General features: G+C 36.2%; 2 protein-coding genes, 1 long non-coding RNA gene and 1 pseudogene across 22 annotated transcripts in view, besides 2 other annotated features; 2 read left to right on the plus strand and 2 right to left on the minus strand.

Annotated features, from left to right (window-relative positions):
* LOC102724319 (uncharacterized) overlaps positions 1–1,785 on the plus strand; it is a 29,842-nt gene extending 28,057 nt beyond the window's left edge. The window contains exon 3 of the long non-coding RNA XR_426701.4: positions 1,747–1,785. This is a non-coding gene — a long non-coding RNA (uncharacterized LOC102724319). The remainder of the gene's footprint in view (positions 1–1,746) is intronic.
* The window catches only part of ITGB3BP (integrin subunit beta 3 binding protein), an 88,418-nt gene extending 75,240 nt beyond the window's left edge, over positions 1–13,178 (minus strand). For 11 of the 15 annotated variants that reach the window (NR_045147.2, XM_047416577.1, NM_001347148.2 and 8 more), the window contains exon 1: positions 7,120–7,216. Coding sequence is in view for 8 of the 15 variants with exons in the window: in NM_001347145.2 (NP_001334074.1) it covers positions 7,120–7,124 (5 nt within the window). In the remaining 7 variants the exon portion in view is untranslated. Of the gene's footprint in view, positions 1–7,100; positions 7,217–13,121 lie in introns of those variants that run through there. The other 4 variants (XR_007058557.1, XM_047416578.1, XM_017000854.3 and 1 more) reach the window with 2 other exon arrangements.
* Positions 6,615–7,238: an enhancer, noted in NCBI's record as "H3K27ac hESC enhancer chr1:63988295-63988918 (GRCh37/hg19 assembly coordinates)". NCBI's record gives its function as "activates a minimal SCP1, AML or CMV promoter by ChIP-STARR-seq in naive H9 embryonic stem cells {active_cell/tissue: H9 hESC(naive)}" and the evidence as "EXISTENCE:reporter gene assay evidence [ECO:0000049][PMID:30033119]".
* Positions 7,400–7,479: an enhancer, noted in NCBI's record as "active region_1126". NCBI's record gives its function as "activates an Ori minimal core promoter by ATAC-STARR-seq in GM12878 lymphoblastoid cells {active_cell/tissue: GM12878}" and the evidence as "EXISTENCE:reporter gene assay evidence [ECO:0000049][PMID:35858748]".
* EFCAB7 (EF-hand calcium binding domain 7) overlaps positions 7,516–13,985 on the plus strand; it is a 61,846-nt gene continuing 55,376 nt past the window's right edge. For 4 of the 6 annotated variants that reach the window (XR_946779.4, XM_011542301.3, XM_006710976.4 and 1 more), the window contains exons 1-2: positions 7,516–7,560; positions 9,563–9,750. Coding sequence is in view for 5 of the 6 variants with exons in the window: in XM_011542301.3 (XP_011540603.1) it covers positions 7,523–7,560; positions 9,563–9,750 (226 nt within the window). In the remaining variant the exon portion in view is untranslated. Of the gene's footprint in view, positions 7,626–9,562; positions 9,751–13,985 lie in introns of all 6 variants that reach the window. The other 2 variants (NM_032437.4, XM_006710977.2) reach the window with 2 other exon arrangements.
* Positions 13,604–13,889, minus strand: RN7SL488P (RNA, 7SL, cytoplasmic 488, pseudogene; annotated as a pseudogene).

The raw sequence follows: 13,985 nt of genomic DNA on the forward strand, positions 1-13,985 counted from the left end.
GAAATGTGGTATATATACACCATGGAACACTATGCAGCCATAAAAAAGAATGATACCGTGTTGTTCTGCAACAACATGAATAGAGCTGGAAATCATTATCTTAACTGGAATAACTCAGAAGCAGAAAATTAGGCCAGGCATGGTGGCTCACATCTGTAATCCCAACACTTTGGGAGGCTGAGCTGAGCAGATTGCTTGAGTCCAGAGTGAGCCTGGGAGGCAGAGGTTGTGGTGAGCAAACTGCACCACTGCACTCTAGCCTGGGTGACAGAGCAAGACCATGTCTCAAAAAAAAAAAAAAAAAAAAAGAGGAGAGGGGAGGGGAAGGGAAGCGGAGCGGGGGAAGGTGGGGGAGAAGGGGGGGGGAAGGGAAAAGGAAAGAAAAGAAAGAAAACAAGAGAAAAAAGAGGAAAGGAAAGCAAAGAAAATCAACTGGGTGTGGCAGTGCTCACACCTGTGATCTCAGCATTTTAGGAGGCTAAGGCATGAGGATTGTTTGAGATCAACATGGGCAACACAATGAGACTCTGTCTTTACAAAAAAATTAAAAATTAGGCCAGTGTGGTGGTGTACACCTGTAGTCCCAGCTACTTGGAAGGCTGAGGCAGGAGGATCACTTGAGCCCAGGAGGTGAAGGTTGCAGTGAGCCATGTTCATGCCACTGCAGTCCAGCCTGGGTGACAGAGTAAGACCTTGTTTCATGAAAAAAAAAAAAAAAGAAAAAAGAAAAAAAAAGAAAAGCAAATACCACATGTTCTCATCTATTAGTGGGAGCTAAACAATGGGTACATATGAACATACAGAGGGAAATAATAGACACTGAGACTTCAAAAGGAGGAAGTATGGGAGGAAGGTGAGGGTTGAAAAATTATCTTTCGGGTACAATGTTCACTATTTGTGTGATGGGCACCTACGAGCTCAAACCTCACCATTATGCAATATATCCTTGTAACAAATCTGCACATATACACCCTGAGTCTATAAAAAATAAAAACAAATAAGTTAGGTATAAATGATCATACTCAAAAAAAGAAAGTACAAAGAAGGAAAATTAGATTACATGAAAAATGAAATATAAAACAGAAAAGATAAAGATAATACCAAATACTATTATACAAGTTTTCATCCACTTAACTTTTTTTAAAAAAGATCCATTTTAAACAGTAGAAATAAAAAAAGAGCAAAACTTAAAAAGAAATGTTTGTTAGGATTATGACAGGGATTGCATTAAATCTAAACATTGGTGAGAACTAACATTTTAATAATACCACATTTATCACTTAAAAATACTCTCACCAGCATGGCACATGTATATATATGTAACTAACCTGCACATTGTGCACATGTACCCTAAAACTTAAAGTATAATAATAAAAAAATAAAAATAAATAAAAATAAATAAAAAATAAATAAAAATACTCTCATTTATCTTCATCTTTAATTTCTCTAAGGAACATTTTGTAATTTTCACTGTAGAGGTCTTGCATGTCTTATGCTAAATTATTATATGTTTTTATGTAATTATAAATGAAAAATCTTAAACTTCAATTTCCAGGTGTTTATTCCTGAAATATAGAAATATATTGATCTTTGTACACTGATTTTGCATCCTACATCCTTGCTAAATTGTTCTGAAAATTGTTTTATAGATTTTTTAGGATTTTCTTCATACATGATGTCATTGTTGAATCATTAATTTTACTTTTTCCTTTTTTGTTGTTGTTGTTTTTGTTTGTCTTGAGACAGGGTCATCCAGGCTGGAATGCAAGTGACACAATCACAGCTCACTGCAGCCTTGACTTCCTCGGCTCAAGTGATCCTCCTGCCTCAGCCTCCCAAGTAGCTGGGACTACAGGCACGTAACGTCACACCTTGTTAATTTTCATATTTTTTCGTAGAGACAGCGTTTTGCCATATTGCCCAGGCTAATCTTGAACTACTGGGCTCAAGCAATCTGCCTGTCTCAGCCTCCCAAAGTGATGGGATTACCGGCATGAGCCACTGGGCCTGGCCCCACTTTTTCCTTTTTAACACTATGGGTGTTTTTCTGTGTGTGCTTTTTTGAATAGAAGTGGTGAGAGGGCACGTTCTTGCCTTTTTCCTAATCTTAAAAAAGTTTTCGATACTAAATATATTATCTATAGGTTTTTCAAAGAAATGAGAAGTTGCCTCCTATTCCTAGTTTGCTGAGGGTTTTATTTTCTCACGAATGGGTATGTTCTCTGTACAATTAACCAATGAAATCGTCTGGGTCTTTGTGGGAAGATTCTTAGTAACAAATTCTATTTCCTTAATTATGCAGATTTTCTGTATCATCTTATGCCATCATGCTAAGTTGTATTTTTCAAGGAATTTGTCAATTTTGTATAAGTTGTCAAGTTTACTGGAATAAAGGCTTTAATGATATTACCTCTTTCAATATCTATAGCATCTTTAGTGGTATTCTGCTCTTTCATTTTGGATATTGATAGTTTATGTTCTCTTTCATCTAAGTACAATTTACCCTTTCATTCTGGATATTGATCATTTGGTTTCTCTCCTGTTAGACTGTTATATCTACCTTTCCCTTTCTTTTCTTTCTTTTTTTTTTTTAACTTTCAACTTTGTTGCTTATAGACAGTAAAGAGTTAGGACTTGCTTTAAAAAAAAATCTAGCCTTATAATATTCTCTACCTTTTTCACTGATGTCTTTACTGCACTTAAACTTGTAATTATCTGGTTGGGGCTACCATTTAGATAGTTGTTTTCTATTTGTCCCATCTGTTTTTGTTCCTTTGTTCTTTTTTACCTGCCTTCTTTTGAATTAACATTATTTTTAAATATATCATTTCAATTCCTCTATTTGTTTTTTAGGTATGCCTCTCTGCATTTTCAGAGGTTACTCTGGGGATTACAGTATGCCTTTTTAACATACCACAGTCTATCTAGAGTTATAATAATACAGTACTACTTCATGTAAAAGAGAAGAATCTTGCAACATTATAGTCAACTCCCTCTACACTTTGTGCCACTGGTATCATATATATTATGTCTACATATAACCCCATAATAGTGTTTAATTTTTGCTTTAAACATTCTCACCTTTTTAAGAAGTTGCAAGCAAAAAATATATAGATGCTCCTTGACTTACAACAGGATTATGTTACAACAAACCCATTGTAAATTGAAAATGTTAGTTGAAAATGCATTTCACACATTTAACCTACTGAACATCACAGCTTAAACATGTTGAGAACTCTTAAATTAACTTATAGTTGGGTAAATCATCTAACCCAAAATCTCTTTTAAAATAAAGTGTTGAACATCTCATGTAATTTATTGAATATTGTGCTGAAAGTAAAGAAAAGAATGGTTGTATGGGTACTTAAAGTAGTTTCTACTGAATGCATATTGCTTTCACACTATTATGAAGTCAAAAAATTCTAAGTTAAATAGACAGGTGAGAGCCACCACGCTCAGCCAAAAAGGCTCTATTATACCTTCCTCTATTAGACTTTACTGACTTTTACAAGCAGGAAAGAATTGCATTTAAATTTCATATTTTTCTTATATCAAGTACTAAAAATTTCACCAATCTTCTTTTAAAATGCAGGACACTTTATTTATAAAAGAAATTATATAACTTTGAATATCTACTATAATTCAAAGGATGTTTATTTAATGGTTAACTTTTACTTGGCCTGACACATCATTCCACCCACCTACTTCTTTATAATCAACCCACAAAATAAAAATCATTGTACCTGGCAGTAGCATCAAAATGATTACAGCATATAGGCACAATAAAGATCCAGAATATGTTTATATTCATTTTCCCTTATCTTGGAAAAAATATAGCACATTTTAAAGTTCTCTCAGAAAACTCTCAGACTATAAATACAGCAGCAGAATGGCCCCCACTGTTACTGTTACGAATAGTTTTTCTACAACACTAATGCTATTCCAACTTTATAGCTTTAGTTCAGTCATAGCTTGGAACAGAATAAAGTTAACTCTGGTAGAGAGTATCTTTGGCTGAATTAGCATGATGATGTACACTAATTAGCAAGACTAAACAAATGGTACTTTTTAAAGGAAGCTTTATAAAGAAAAGGTAGAAGAAGAAAAAAGGTCTAGAATGGGATTTGATTACTTACAGCAAGAGCTACTAAAAAGACATGTATCTGTCTACATAGAATGAAATCTTTCCAAAGTAGCAACTTTATCATTCAATTAATAAATACTTATTGAGCAACTATTTTATCAATGAGGACACTGAGTAACAATCTAAGGAGCACACAGCTGGTTAACAGACTCAAGATTCAAATCCTGGTTTGTCTTACTCCAAAGTCCATGATTTTTCCACTTCAAATCTTTAAAAAGTGAAGGTTTCAACCTAGATAGAGAAATGACTGTGCCACTAATTTCAGAATGTACACAGAAAGAGGAGCAAGATTGGAAGGGAAGATGATTAGCCTAATGAAACCAACAGCAGCATTTATCTAATTCATCTGTTTCCTCCAAAGGATCAAAGAGAAGGCAGAGAAAGCTACACTTAGGGAGGACTTAAGATAGGTAATCTCTAAATCCTTTTAAAAAACATTTTAAGTAGTACATACTAAATGAATAAATGTAATACTAATGAATAATGGATACTAATGAAAAAATGTAAGCTGTGCAAGTTATAAAACATTAGAAAATAAGCACGCATAAACTCACCACATAATTTAAGAACTAGATCATTACCAATATGACTGGGTATACATGCATCTATTTGCTTCCCCCAAAAGGCATCTATTAAACTGTATTTATCATTTCTCTGTATTTATCATTTCTCTGCCTTTTAACAATAATCTTATCATATACATATATAACCATAAGTAGCTTATTTTTGCGTGTTCTTAAGTTTTATAAGGATAACAAATGTAGTCTCATACAAATTGGTTATTTCACTCATTATGTTAAGATTCATCCATCCGCTCTATTGTCACTGAACATTTGCTGTTTCTTATTTATTTTAGATTCATTTGGACCATATATATTTTCACAACTACTCATTGTTGTATTGAAGTTTTTTCTGCTCAAGGTTCTAAGAAATTAGAAAAAAGATAGATCACACCCTCCCGTAAGTTATATTACACATTTAGTCTTCCAAATACATACCAAATAGTCACCATTTCAACATCACTTAAAAATGAATCCACCTGCATATGTAACTTGCCAAGATAACTATTTGCACCACTCATTTATGACCTCACCAGTAACCACATTAAAAAAAAAAAAAACACTTAATTTACTAACAATGATGGAGATTCTCTACTAACATGCCATTACGTTTTATGCATTACTTAACTGTTGATTTAGTCTTAAATCACTTTGCTAAAACTTAGAAAATTAGCAAAGTAATTGCTAGTTTCACATATATATTAGCTATATATGTGAGATGTTAACCTCAACTTTAAGGTTGTGTATTTATTACCAGAATATACTTATCTAAAAGCCTAATATAACATCTTGTGTGCATATGTTAGGAAGACAGTTGTCAAAAAGGTCCACTTTTAGGCCTGACACAGTGGCTAACTCCTATAGTCCCAGCACATTGGGAGGCTGAGGTGGAAGGATCACTTAAGCCCAGGACTTCAAGACCAGGCTGGGCAACACAGGGAGACACTGTCTTTACAAAATAAAAAAATTAGGCATGGTGGCATGTGGGAGCCCAGGAGGTAGAGGCTGCAGTGAGCTGTGATCACAGCACTGCACTCCAGCCTGGGCAACAGAGCCAGACTCTGCCTCAAAAAAAGAAAAAAAAAGTTCCACTTTTCATAGTTTTTTGGTTCCCCACTCCTATACACAGATACACACAGTTCAGGAGGTATTACCACTTGTTTGGCAAATACACCTCTGTTTTCACTGTATTCTTAGGGATTTTGTGTGTGTGATTGTGTGACATTATCTTTGCAGCTTTGTTTATTTGAGAACTGGATGATTTTTCTAATGCAAGAGTAGGGAAACAAGTCTCTTTGCTTAATTCTGGGGAAAGGAAAACCTCCTCAATAATCCATAACTTTTAAGGGCATCAGTAAAACATGCATTTATTGGCAGCTGTGTTGAACACCCTATTAGGTGATGGGTTTCTTTATCTGTAAAGATAATAGCAGCCCCCATCCCCTAAAGTATTTTAGGATTCAATGAAAAAACGTAGATAAATTGATTAATACAGCACCCACATTGTAATTCAAGATTCAATAAATATAGGTTATCATTTCTGTACAGCTTTCCCCTTTCATGTCAATTCCTATTTGATACAAAAATTTCCCCAGCTGTGTTACTTTGCATTTTACTTAATCCTGAAATAAACTAAGGAACAGGTTACACTAGAGGGGGTACCTAAATCAACCTGAGGACAAGGACGGCCAAGGAGAAATTACAGGTGTTTGATATCCACCCCACTCCCCCAACCTTTAATGGCTTTTTTAAGTTTCTATAGGGTAGCAACTATTTTATGCATCTCAATATAGGATGGATGAAGGATATGAAAAACAGATGAATCTTATCTAGCACAATGCCTATTCCCACTATGGTCATTCTCAATAATCAGATTATTGGTCATAGATGGGAATTTAGAGATCATGCAGTACAAACTTATTTGTGTAAGTAAAAAAAAACGAAGCTCAGGGTCGATAAGTGACTTGCCCAACAGTGAAAGAGTCTTATCTGGAATCCAGGTATCTAGACCCACTCAGTCCATGAGTTCTCCCACGGGTTTACACGAACGCGCCACATTAATGAAGGCAAGGGACTGACAAACTACGAAGGCGTGTTTTCATCTACTCTGTCCCATCCTGTGTGTCAACCTTATTTATGTTATTTCAAGTTAGACATCACCTAAATACAGCCCACAGTTTACGAAATCTGTCAAAAGCATCGTAGAAACAGAAAGCGAAGGAGGACTATCGTATGAGTACCGCTGGAGGAGACGTAGAGTTGAGGGTACCAAGCGAAGGGAATTGCCTGTGGACAGAGGAGACAAGTTCATACTCCGAAAAAATAGGAAAACGAGAAAGGCTACTGGGCCACATAATATCTTCTCTTCTTGCAGAGGGCCCCCAAAACAGCAATACCTGGGGAGGAGATACCTACGGCATTCTGAGATTCGGGAAAGCACCACTGCCGCTGAATAAAACGAACCCAGCAACTTCCGAAAACAGAAAATCCGCCAAAGGAAACGCCAAGGCATGAAAAGCGCGCGCTGGACGTTGCGTCAAGCCCACCGCGGCCGGGCGGAAACATCCTCCCCGCGACGAAGGATCCGGGTGTGCGCGAGCAAAGGAGCGAGCGGGGAGTTCTAGGCCCAGGACAGCACCTATTTCCTGCTGGTGTAACAGAGCACCTTCTCTCACTACTCTGGCCATACCACCCCCGCGATAGAGGAGCAACACAGCTGTCTCTGTGCGCTCCGGATCAGCGCTTCCTAGATTTCTAGCCGGATCGTTTGGAGAAGGGCTCTGCATCTTATTTCCGGTGGCGGTGAGGTGCAGTTGCCATGGTGATTAGAGAAAGGCCGAGATCTGTCCAGCTGCGGTGAGAGGAACGCTGAATCGCCGAAGAGAATTGGCTGCGCTTCCTTGTTTGTGAGCTAGAATTAGGTAGCAAACAGCTCGCTGTCTCTGTCTCTTCGCTCCCTCTGTCCCTCTCTGTGCAGCTGCTTCTCCTTCCTCTGCTTTGTCTACTTCTCTGTCATAAACATTTGGTCCATGTATGTACCTAAAATGTACATGTAAATGCGGTTTTATTTCCAGAGGAATACAAAAATAGAGAGATGGTGCCCGAGATTACCTGTGACGGTATTTCACTGTGTAGGGACGGTGACTGGACGGCTTTCTGTTTTCACTTGGCCCTGTAGAAGCCTTAGGCGCTTGTTAACAGTTTATTTTTCTTGCTATTGTGTGGCTGGTTATTTATGGAGCCGTTTGCTGCAATGTACTCTCTAGGCCCCTGTCTCAGTCTCGGGCCGGAGTTTTAAGTAAGGGAGGTTTCCAAGCCTGCGGGGGGTGCAATTATATGTTTATTTAAGCTTTAGTTTGGTTTCTCGTCACAGAAAGGAAAAGAATAAAATTCTGGCACATTTCTGCCTTGGGATTTCCATGTGAGGGAGTTGCCTTGTTTGGAAAGAATATTTGAGGACGATCCTAAAATATACTTATATTTTAAAATTGCTTATTGCAAAGTGAAATTCATTCTCCCTTACTTCTTGAAACAGTTTTCTTTCACATTTGTGAGGAGATGCATGCACACATATGTGTTTAGAACTCTGATGCTTAATTATAGTATTACCAATTTGCAGTAACCAGACTGTGACACCACATCCCTGTGGGGTCCTTCTAAATCTGGTGTAATATGAAAGTGTCAGGCAGGCGGCCTGCGTATTATAAATAGGGTACTTCATCCATGATAAGCAATTATTATCTTTCTTTCCCAAGTGTAAATGATCTATATAATTCGAAAAGGTGCAAGTGATTTAGGCCTCCTGAGTAGGAATGCAATGAGTCCTGAAGGGGACCCTACCTGTGTTATCTTATTATTGAACTTGAAATATTCAATTTATTAGGTTGGAGATCTATTTTTAGAAGTCAAAGCTGGGTAGAGTAATATTGGAAGCTGTTAGACCACCAGTAGAATCTAATACCCCATAGTAACCATTGTTCAGTACTATATCCACATTAACAAAGAAGAAACTGTTCGTGAAATTTACGGCTTTTTGCCACTTACTGCTAGCTGGGTGACATTGCTACCCCTCAATTTCCTCATCTGTAAAACGGACAAAAAAATACCTGACCGCTGTAATAGGGATAAGACAAGATGTATGACAGTTCTTTAAGCTCTTATGTACAGAGGTGCTATACAAACCCCAAATATTGTTATTAATAAAGGAACACAGTAAAACTATGATAATGCTATAAATAAGACTTTTAAAATATAGCTATTTGAAATGTGGGGCTGCATTATTGAGATGTTAATGAAATGATCTTGTTGATCCTGCTGTGGAAGATGGGTGTCAACTACCACTCATATCCCGATTCTCATTATTCTGGAGTTTCTCATTATCTGCAGTTTATTTAGCACTTACTACGTGTCAAGCAATATTGTATATGCTTCACATGTATTAACTGATTTGCTCCTCTTAAAAACCTGATGAAGACTGTCATCTGACTTTCGTATTTTGAGAGAATAGATGTGTGCTCTTCCTTTGTTCAGTGATTCTTCTCTTGTGTATATCTTTGTTCTTTTGGCTATTATCACATATTTGAACAATTATATATATACATATGTATATATCTAAAATTAGAAATTAACTGCCAAAGGCTTATTCTTGTTTAATATATAATACGTCCATATACAACTATAGTATTCGTCTTTTACTTCCACATATAAAACTTTTAATATCTTGATCTTTTCATATATGTTATAAATTTTCTTCTATGTATAAAATCTTGATTCTCCTCCCTGTATTTGAAAGACATGGTGACATTTGTGTTTTAGTGACTCACATTGACAAACACATTTTTAAATTATTTTCCAATAGAATGGCGATCAGTCCACGAAGCGATGCAACTTTCTCCAGTCAGAAATCAACACCTTCAGAGAGTCCTCGAACAAAGAAATTTCCACTAACTGAAGAGGAAATATTTTATATGAATTGTAGAGCTGCCTACTTAACTGTCTTCAAAAGCAGCTTGGAAAACATTATTTCTAAAGATCAACTTTACTTAGGTAAATTTTTAAAATTTTTAAATCTTTCACCTTTTTGTTGAAAGTTAATAAATAGGTCCGAAAGACTGAAATTAGAATTACCTTGTTGAATCATCCCAGTTTCTTAGTGAAGCTTGAGCAATGGAACTACAGTAAGCTATTATGTCATATCATATAGTTACATATTCTAGGAACTACAAAATAAAACTTTCAATGTTTATACAAACTAGATGGGTAATTGAAAGCTTCTATCAATTACTACTTGCTTAAGATACTTTTAATTCTCATTTTGGTGCTTTAAGATTTATCATAATAAAATTAAAACGCTTTTGGCCTCTTAAGTCACTAGCCTGAATTTGACCCATACTGAGGAAAGTGTAAAGGATGTGTAAAAATGGGTGGAATGTCTGAAAAAGTGAAGTACTGAGAGATAAGTGAACTTTTAAAAGAGAATTGAGTTGGGGTTTTTTTATTTCTTATTTTTATTTTTTGTTTTGTCTTTTATTGCTTCTGTCCTTTATCACATTTAAAAATTCCTCTCATTACAAAGGTCCCCAAAACCACCAAATTTGGTTCTTTCCAGGAGTATCAAATGATTTGGACATCTTTAGTCATGAGAGAGTAGTAAACAACAGTACTAGATAACACTGACTACTCATGTCAGTTTCATCAAGGCTAATAACTTTATGGGTAGAGAAACTGAGTTATTTTGCCAATTTTATAATGAATTTTCTTAAACCAAAACCCTGACATATTTGTGCAGCAGTGTCTTGAGTTTGTATCCAATAAGATCTATTTGAGGAAATGTATTTTGAGGAATACAAGAATTGACAAGATTAAAATTTATTTGATGTCTAAATAAAATACATTATTTGTAAAGTAGTTTAAATGCAAATGCACATGACTGACTTTTAAAGTCATGTTTAATTTTGATTTACATAATTTTAAAATTACTAAAATGCTCTATTTTGAATTTTAAGTATTTGTGTTTAATTCATATACATTAAATGTTTAGGCAGACATCCAATAAATTTTTTTTTTTTTGAGACGGAGTCTTGCTCTGTCTTCCAGGCTGGAGTGCAGTGGCGCGATCTTGATTCACTGCAGCCTCTGCCTCCTGGGTTCCAGCGATTCTCCTGCCTCAGCCTCCTGGGTAGCTGAGATTACAGTTGCACGCCACCATGCCTGGCTAATTTTTGTATTTTTAGTAGAGACGGGGTTTTGCCATGTTGGCCAGGCTGGTCTCGAGCTCCTGACCTCAGGTGATCTGCCTGCCTCGGCCTCCCAAAGTGCTGGCATTATAGGCGTGAGCCACCACGCCTGGCCAATAAATTAAAATTACTTCTAATTTGCCATTATTTCTAAAATAATCCGAGTTTTTTTTTGTTACTGTTTTGAAAATATACTAAGAGAAGGAATCTGCTAAGTTTAAAAGTTTAACATGCCTTCCACTACTATGGCATTTAGTTTGTGAATCAATGTGTATGTATTACTAAGGTGCTATCAATCTTATGAAATTATCTGGGAGGATAACTATACAGTGTTTGTCTCTTCAGTGTTATATACACTTTTGGTTTTAGGGTGGAATACTCTCTTAACGTTGTAATAATTGATTTTAGATAAACTATTTTTTAAAAAGGAGTAACATGAACTAGAGCTGCTGCTTCTTGCTACACCTTTCATCTATATCCTTCTGCCACTTATGTGCATTTCCATTTTAAGGTCAGAGACAGCGGTAGCATTACTATAGCTTTAAGTTCCTTTTTTGTCAATTTATAAATAATACAGGATTATAGATGCATGTCAGAACTTTAAAGTAAACCCTGGCAAAAGATCCATATCATGGTGTCAAAATTTAAATATCTACAGCTACGTGATATTTTTACTATCATCAAACTTAATCATTAGATCCAGCTAATTCTAAACCTAGAGATTAAAGTTAGTAGGAAATAGATTGTATCAATTTCTTAGCTATGGGGACATCTGCTTACTGAGTACATGTTTTGGCATAATTAATTTTATTCTGAGAAAGTTGTTCTTGTCTAATTACCAGTACATTTTTTAAAACAATATTTTCTTTGTTACTAAAGATAGCAGCAAGCATATGCTAAGCTACCACTTGTGAGAAAAAGTTACATACCTTTTTTCTCAAAACTGAACAGAAGATATAATTTTCTTTCATGTGGACTTCAAATGCTGGCAAGGATGTGGAGAAAAGGGAACCCTCTTACACTGTTGGTAGGAATGTATATTAGTACAACCACTGTGGAGAACAGTTTGGAGGCTTCTCAAAAAACTAAAAATACAGCTACCATAGGATCTAGCATCCTACTGCTTGGTATATATCCAAAAGGAAATCAGCATATTGAAGAGATATCTGCACTCCCATGTTTACTGCAGCACTATTCACAATAGCCCAAATTTGGAAGCAACGTAAGAGTTCATCAATAGATGAATGGATAAAAATAAAAAAAGTGGTACATATACACAGTGGAGTACCATTCAGCTATCATAAAAAAGAATGAGATCCTGTCATTTGCAATAACATGGATAGAACTGGAGGTCATCATGTTAAGTGAAATAAGCCTGGCACAGAAAGGCAAACATCACACATTCTTTCTTATCTGTGGGAGCTAAAAATTAAAACAATTGAACTCATGGAGATAGAGAGTAAAATGATGGTTACCAGAGGCTGAGAAAGGTAGTGGGGGTAGGGGGAGAAAATAGAAAATAGAAAAATAGAAAGAATAAGACCTAGTATTTAGCTAGCACAACAGGGTGACACTAGTAAAAAAAATCATTTAAGTGTACATTTTAAAATAATTAGAGTATAATTGGATTGTTTGAAACAAAGGATAAATGCTTGAGGCAACAGATACCCTATTTACCCTGATGTAATTATTGCATACCTGTATCAAAAAATCTCATATTATACACCTACTATGTATCTCCAAAAATTAAAGATTTAAAAAAAAGAACCTTAGAAAAAAGGCACTTTAGGCTTAACAATAAGGAAGAAATTTTGCAGGAAATTTTATATAATATTCATTGTCATAAAAATAATTTAGTAGTTGTGTAAATGTGTTCTGTATATGTACCATGATTCAGTTAACCACTCCTTGATTCTTTGAACATTGTTTCCTTTATTATTAGTAGCAGTAGTGTAGCAATATGATAAACATCTTTGCACACTAAGCCTTTTTAAAATAAAAATATTTTAGAGGCAAAAAAAAAATTACAACTTCATTTACATCTACTTGTATTCCCAGCTTTTAAAGGGTAGGAGCTGGCTGGGGTTGGAATCCTAAAACACATATTGCCATTTCTTTGATTCTGTAAACAGCTGAATTAAGGAATAGTTCATTTACACACTAGGCAAAATACTTACTTACCTGTTGTTGCTAGGGCAGCATGGTAATCAGGGCTTTTGTCGACATCCAAAATAAAACTGTGGGAATAAAAACATTTATATTATCTCCAATGCAATGAATTTCCACAAAGCCTTTATAGGTATATGGAAGATGGCGGTTACCACAACTACAACTTCTGTTAGCTCTGAAAGTCACTGGCATAATCTAGAGGAGAAGAGAATTTTATTTATGGATTTTTAATATGTTATAACCCATGAGTTATGGCCATAGATAGCAATTTTACAGTCAGATGTAGACTTCCTATTTAGATTATAAAATTTCTTGCCAGGCGCGGTGGCTCATGCCTATAATCCCAGCACTTTGGGAGGCCGAGACGTGCGGATCACCTGAGGTCAGGAGTTTGAGACCAGCCTGACCAACGTGGAGAAACCACGTCTCTACTAAAAATACAAAATTAGCTGGGGGTGGTGGTGCATGCCTGTAATCCCAGTTACTCGGGAGGCTGAGGCAGGAGAATCACTTGAACCCGGGAGGCAGAGGTTGCAGTGAGCCGAGATTACACCATTGCACTCCAGCCTGGGCAACAAGAGCCAAACTCCATCTCAAAAAATAATAATAATAATAAAATAAAATTTCTTTTTTTGAGATGCAGTCTTCCTCTGTCACCCAGGCTGGAGCACAGTGGCTCAATCTCGGCTTACTGCAGTCTCCGCCTCCCAGGTTCAAGCGATTCTCCTGCCTCAGCCTCCCAAGTAGCTGGGATTACAGGCGCAGGCCACCAGGCCCGGCTAATTTTTGTATTTTTAGTAGAGACAGGGTTTCACCATGTTGGCCAGGCTGGTCTTGAACTCCTGACCTCAGGTGACCTGCCCACCTCGGCCACCC

Source organism: Homo sapiens, chromosome 1 (genome assembly GCF_000001405.40).
Source record: "Homo sapiens chromosome 1, GRCh38.p14 Primary Assembly".
Lineage (NCBI taxonomy): Eukaryota > Metazoa > Chordata > Mammalia > Primates > Hominidae > Homo > Homo sapiens.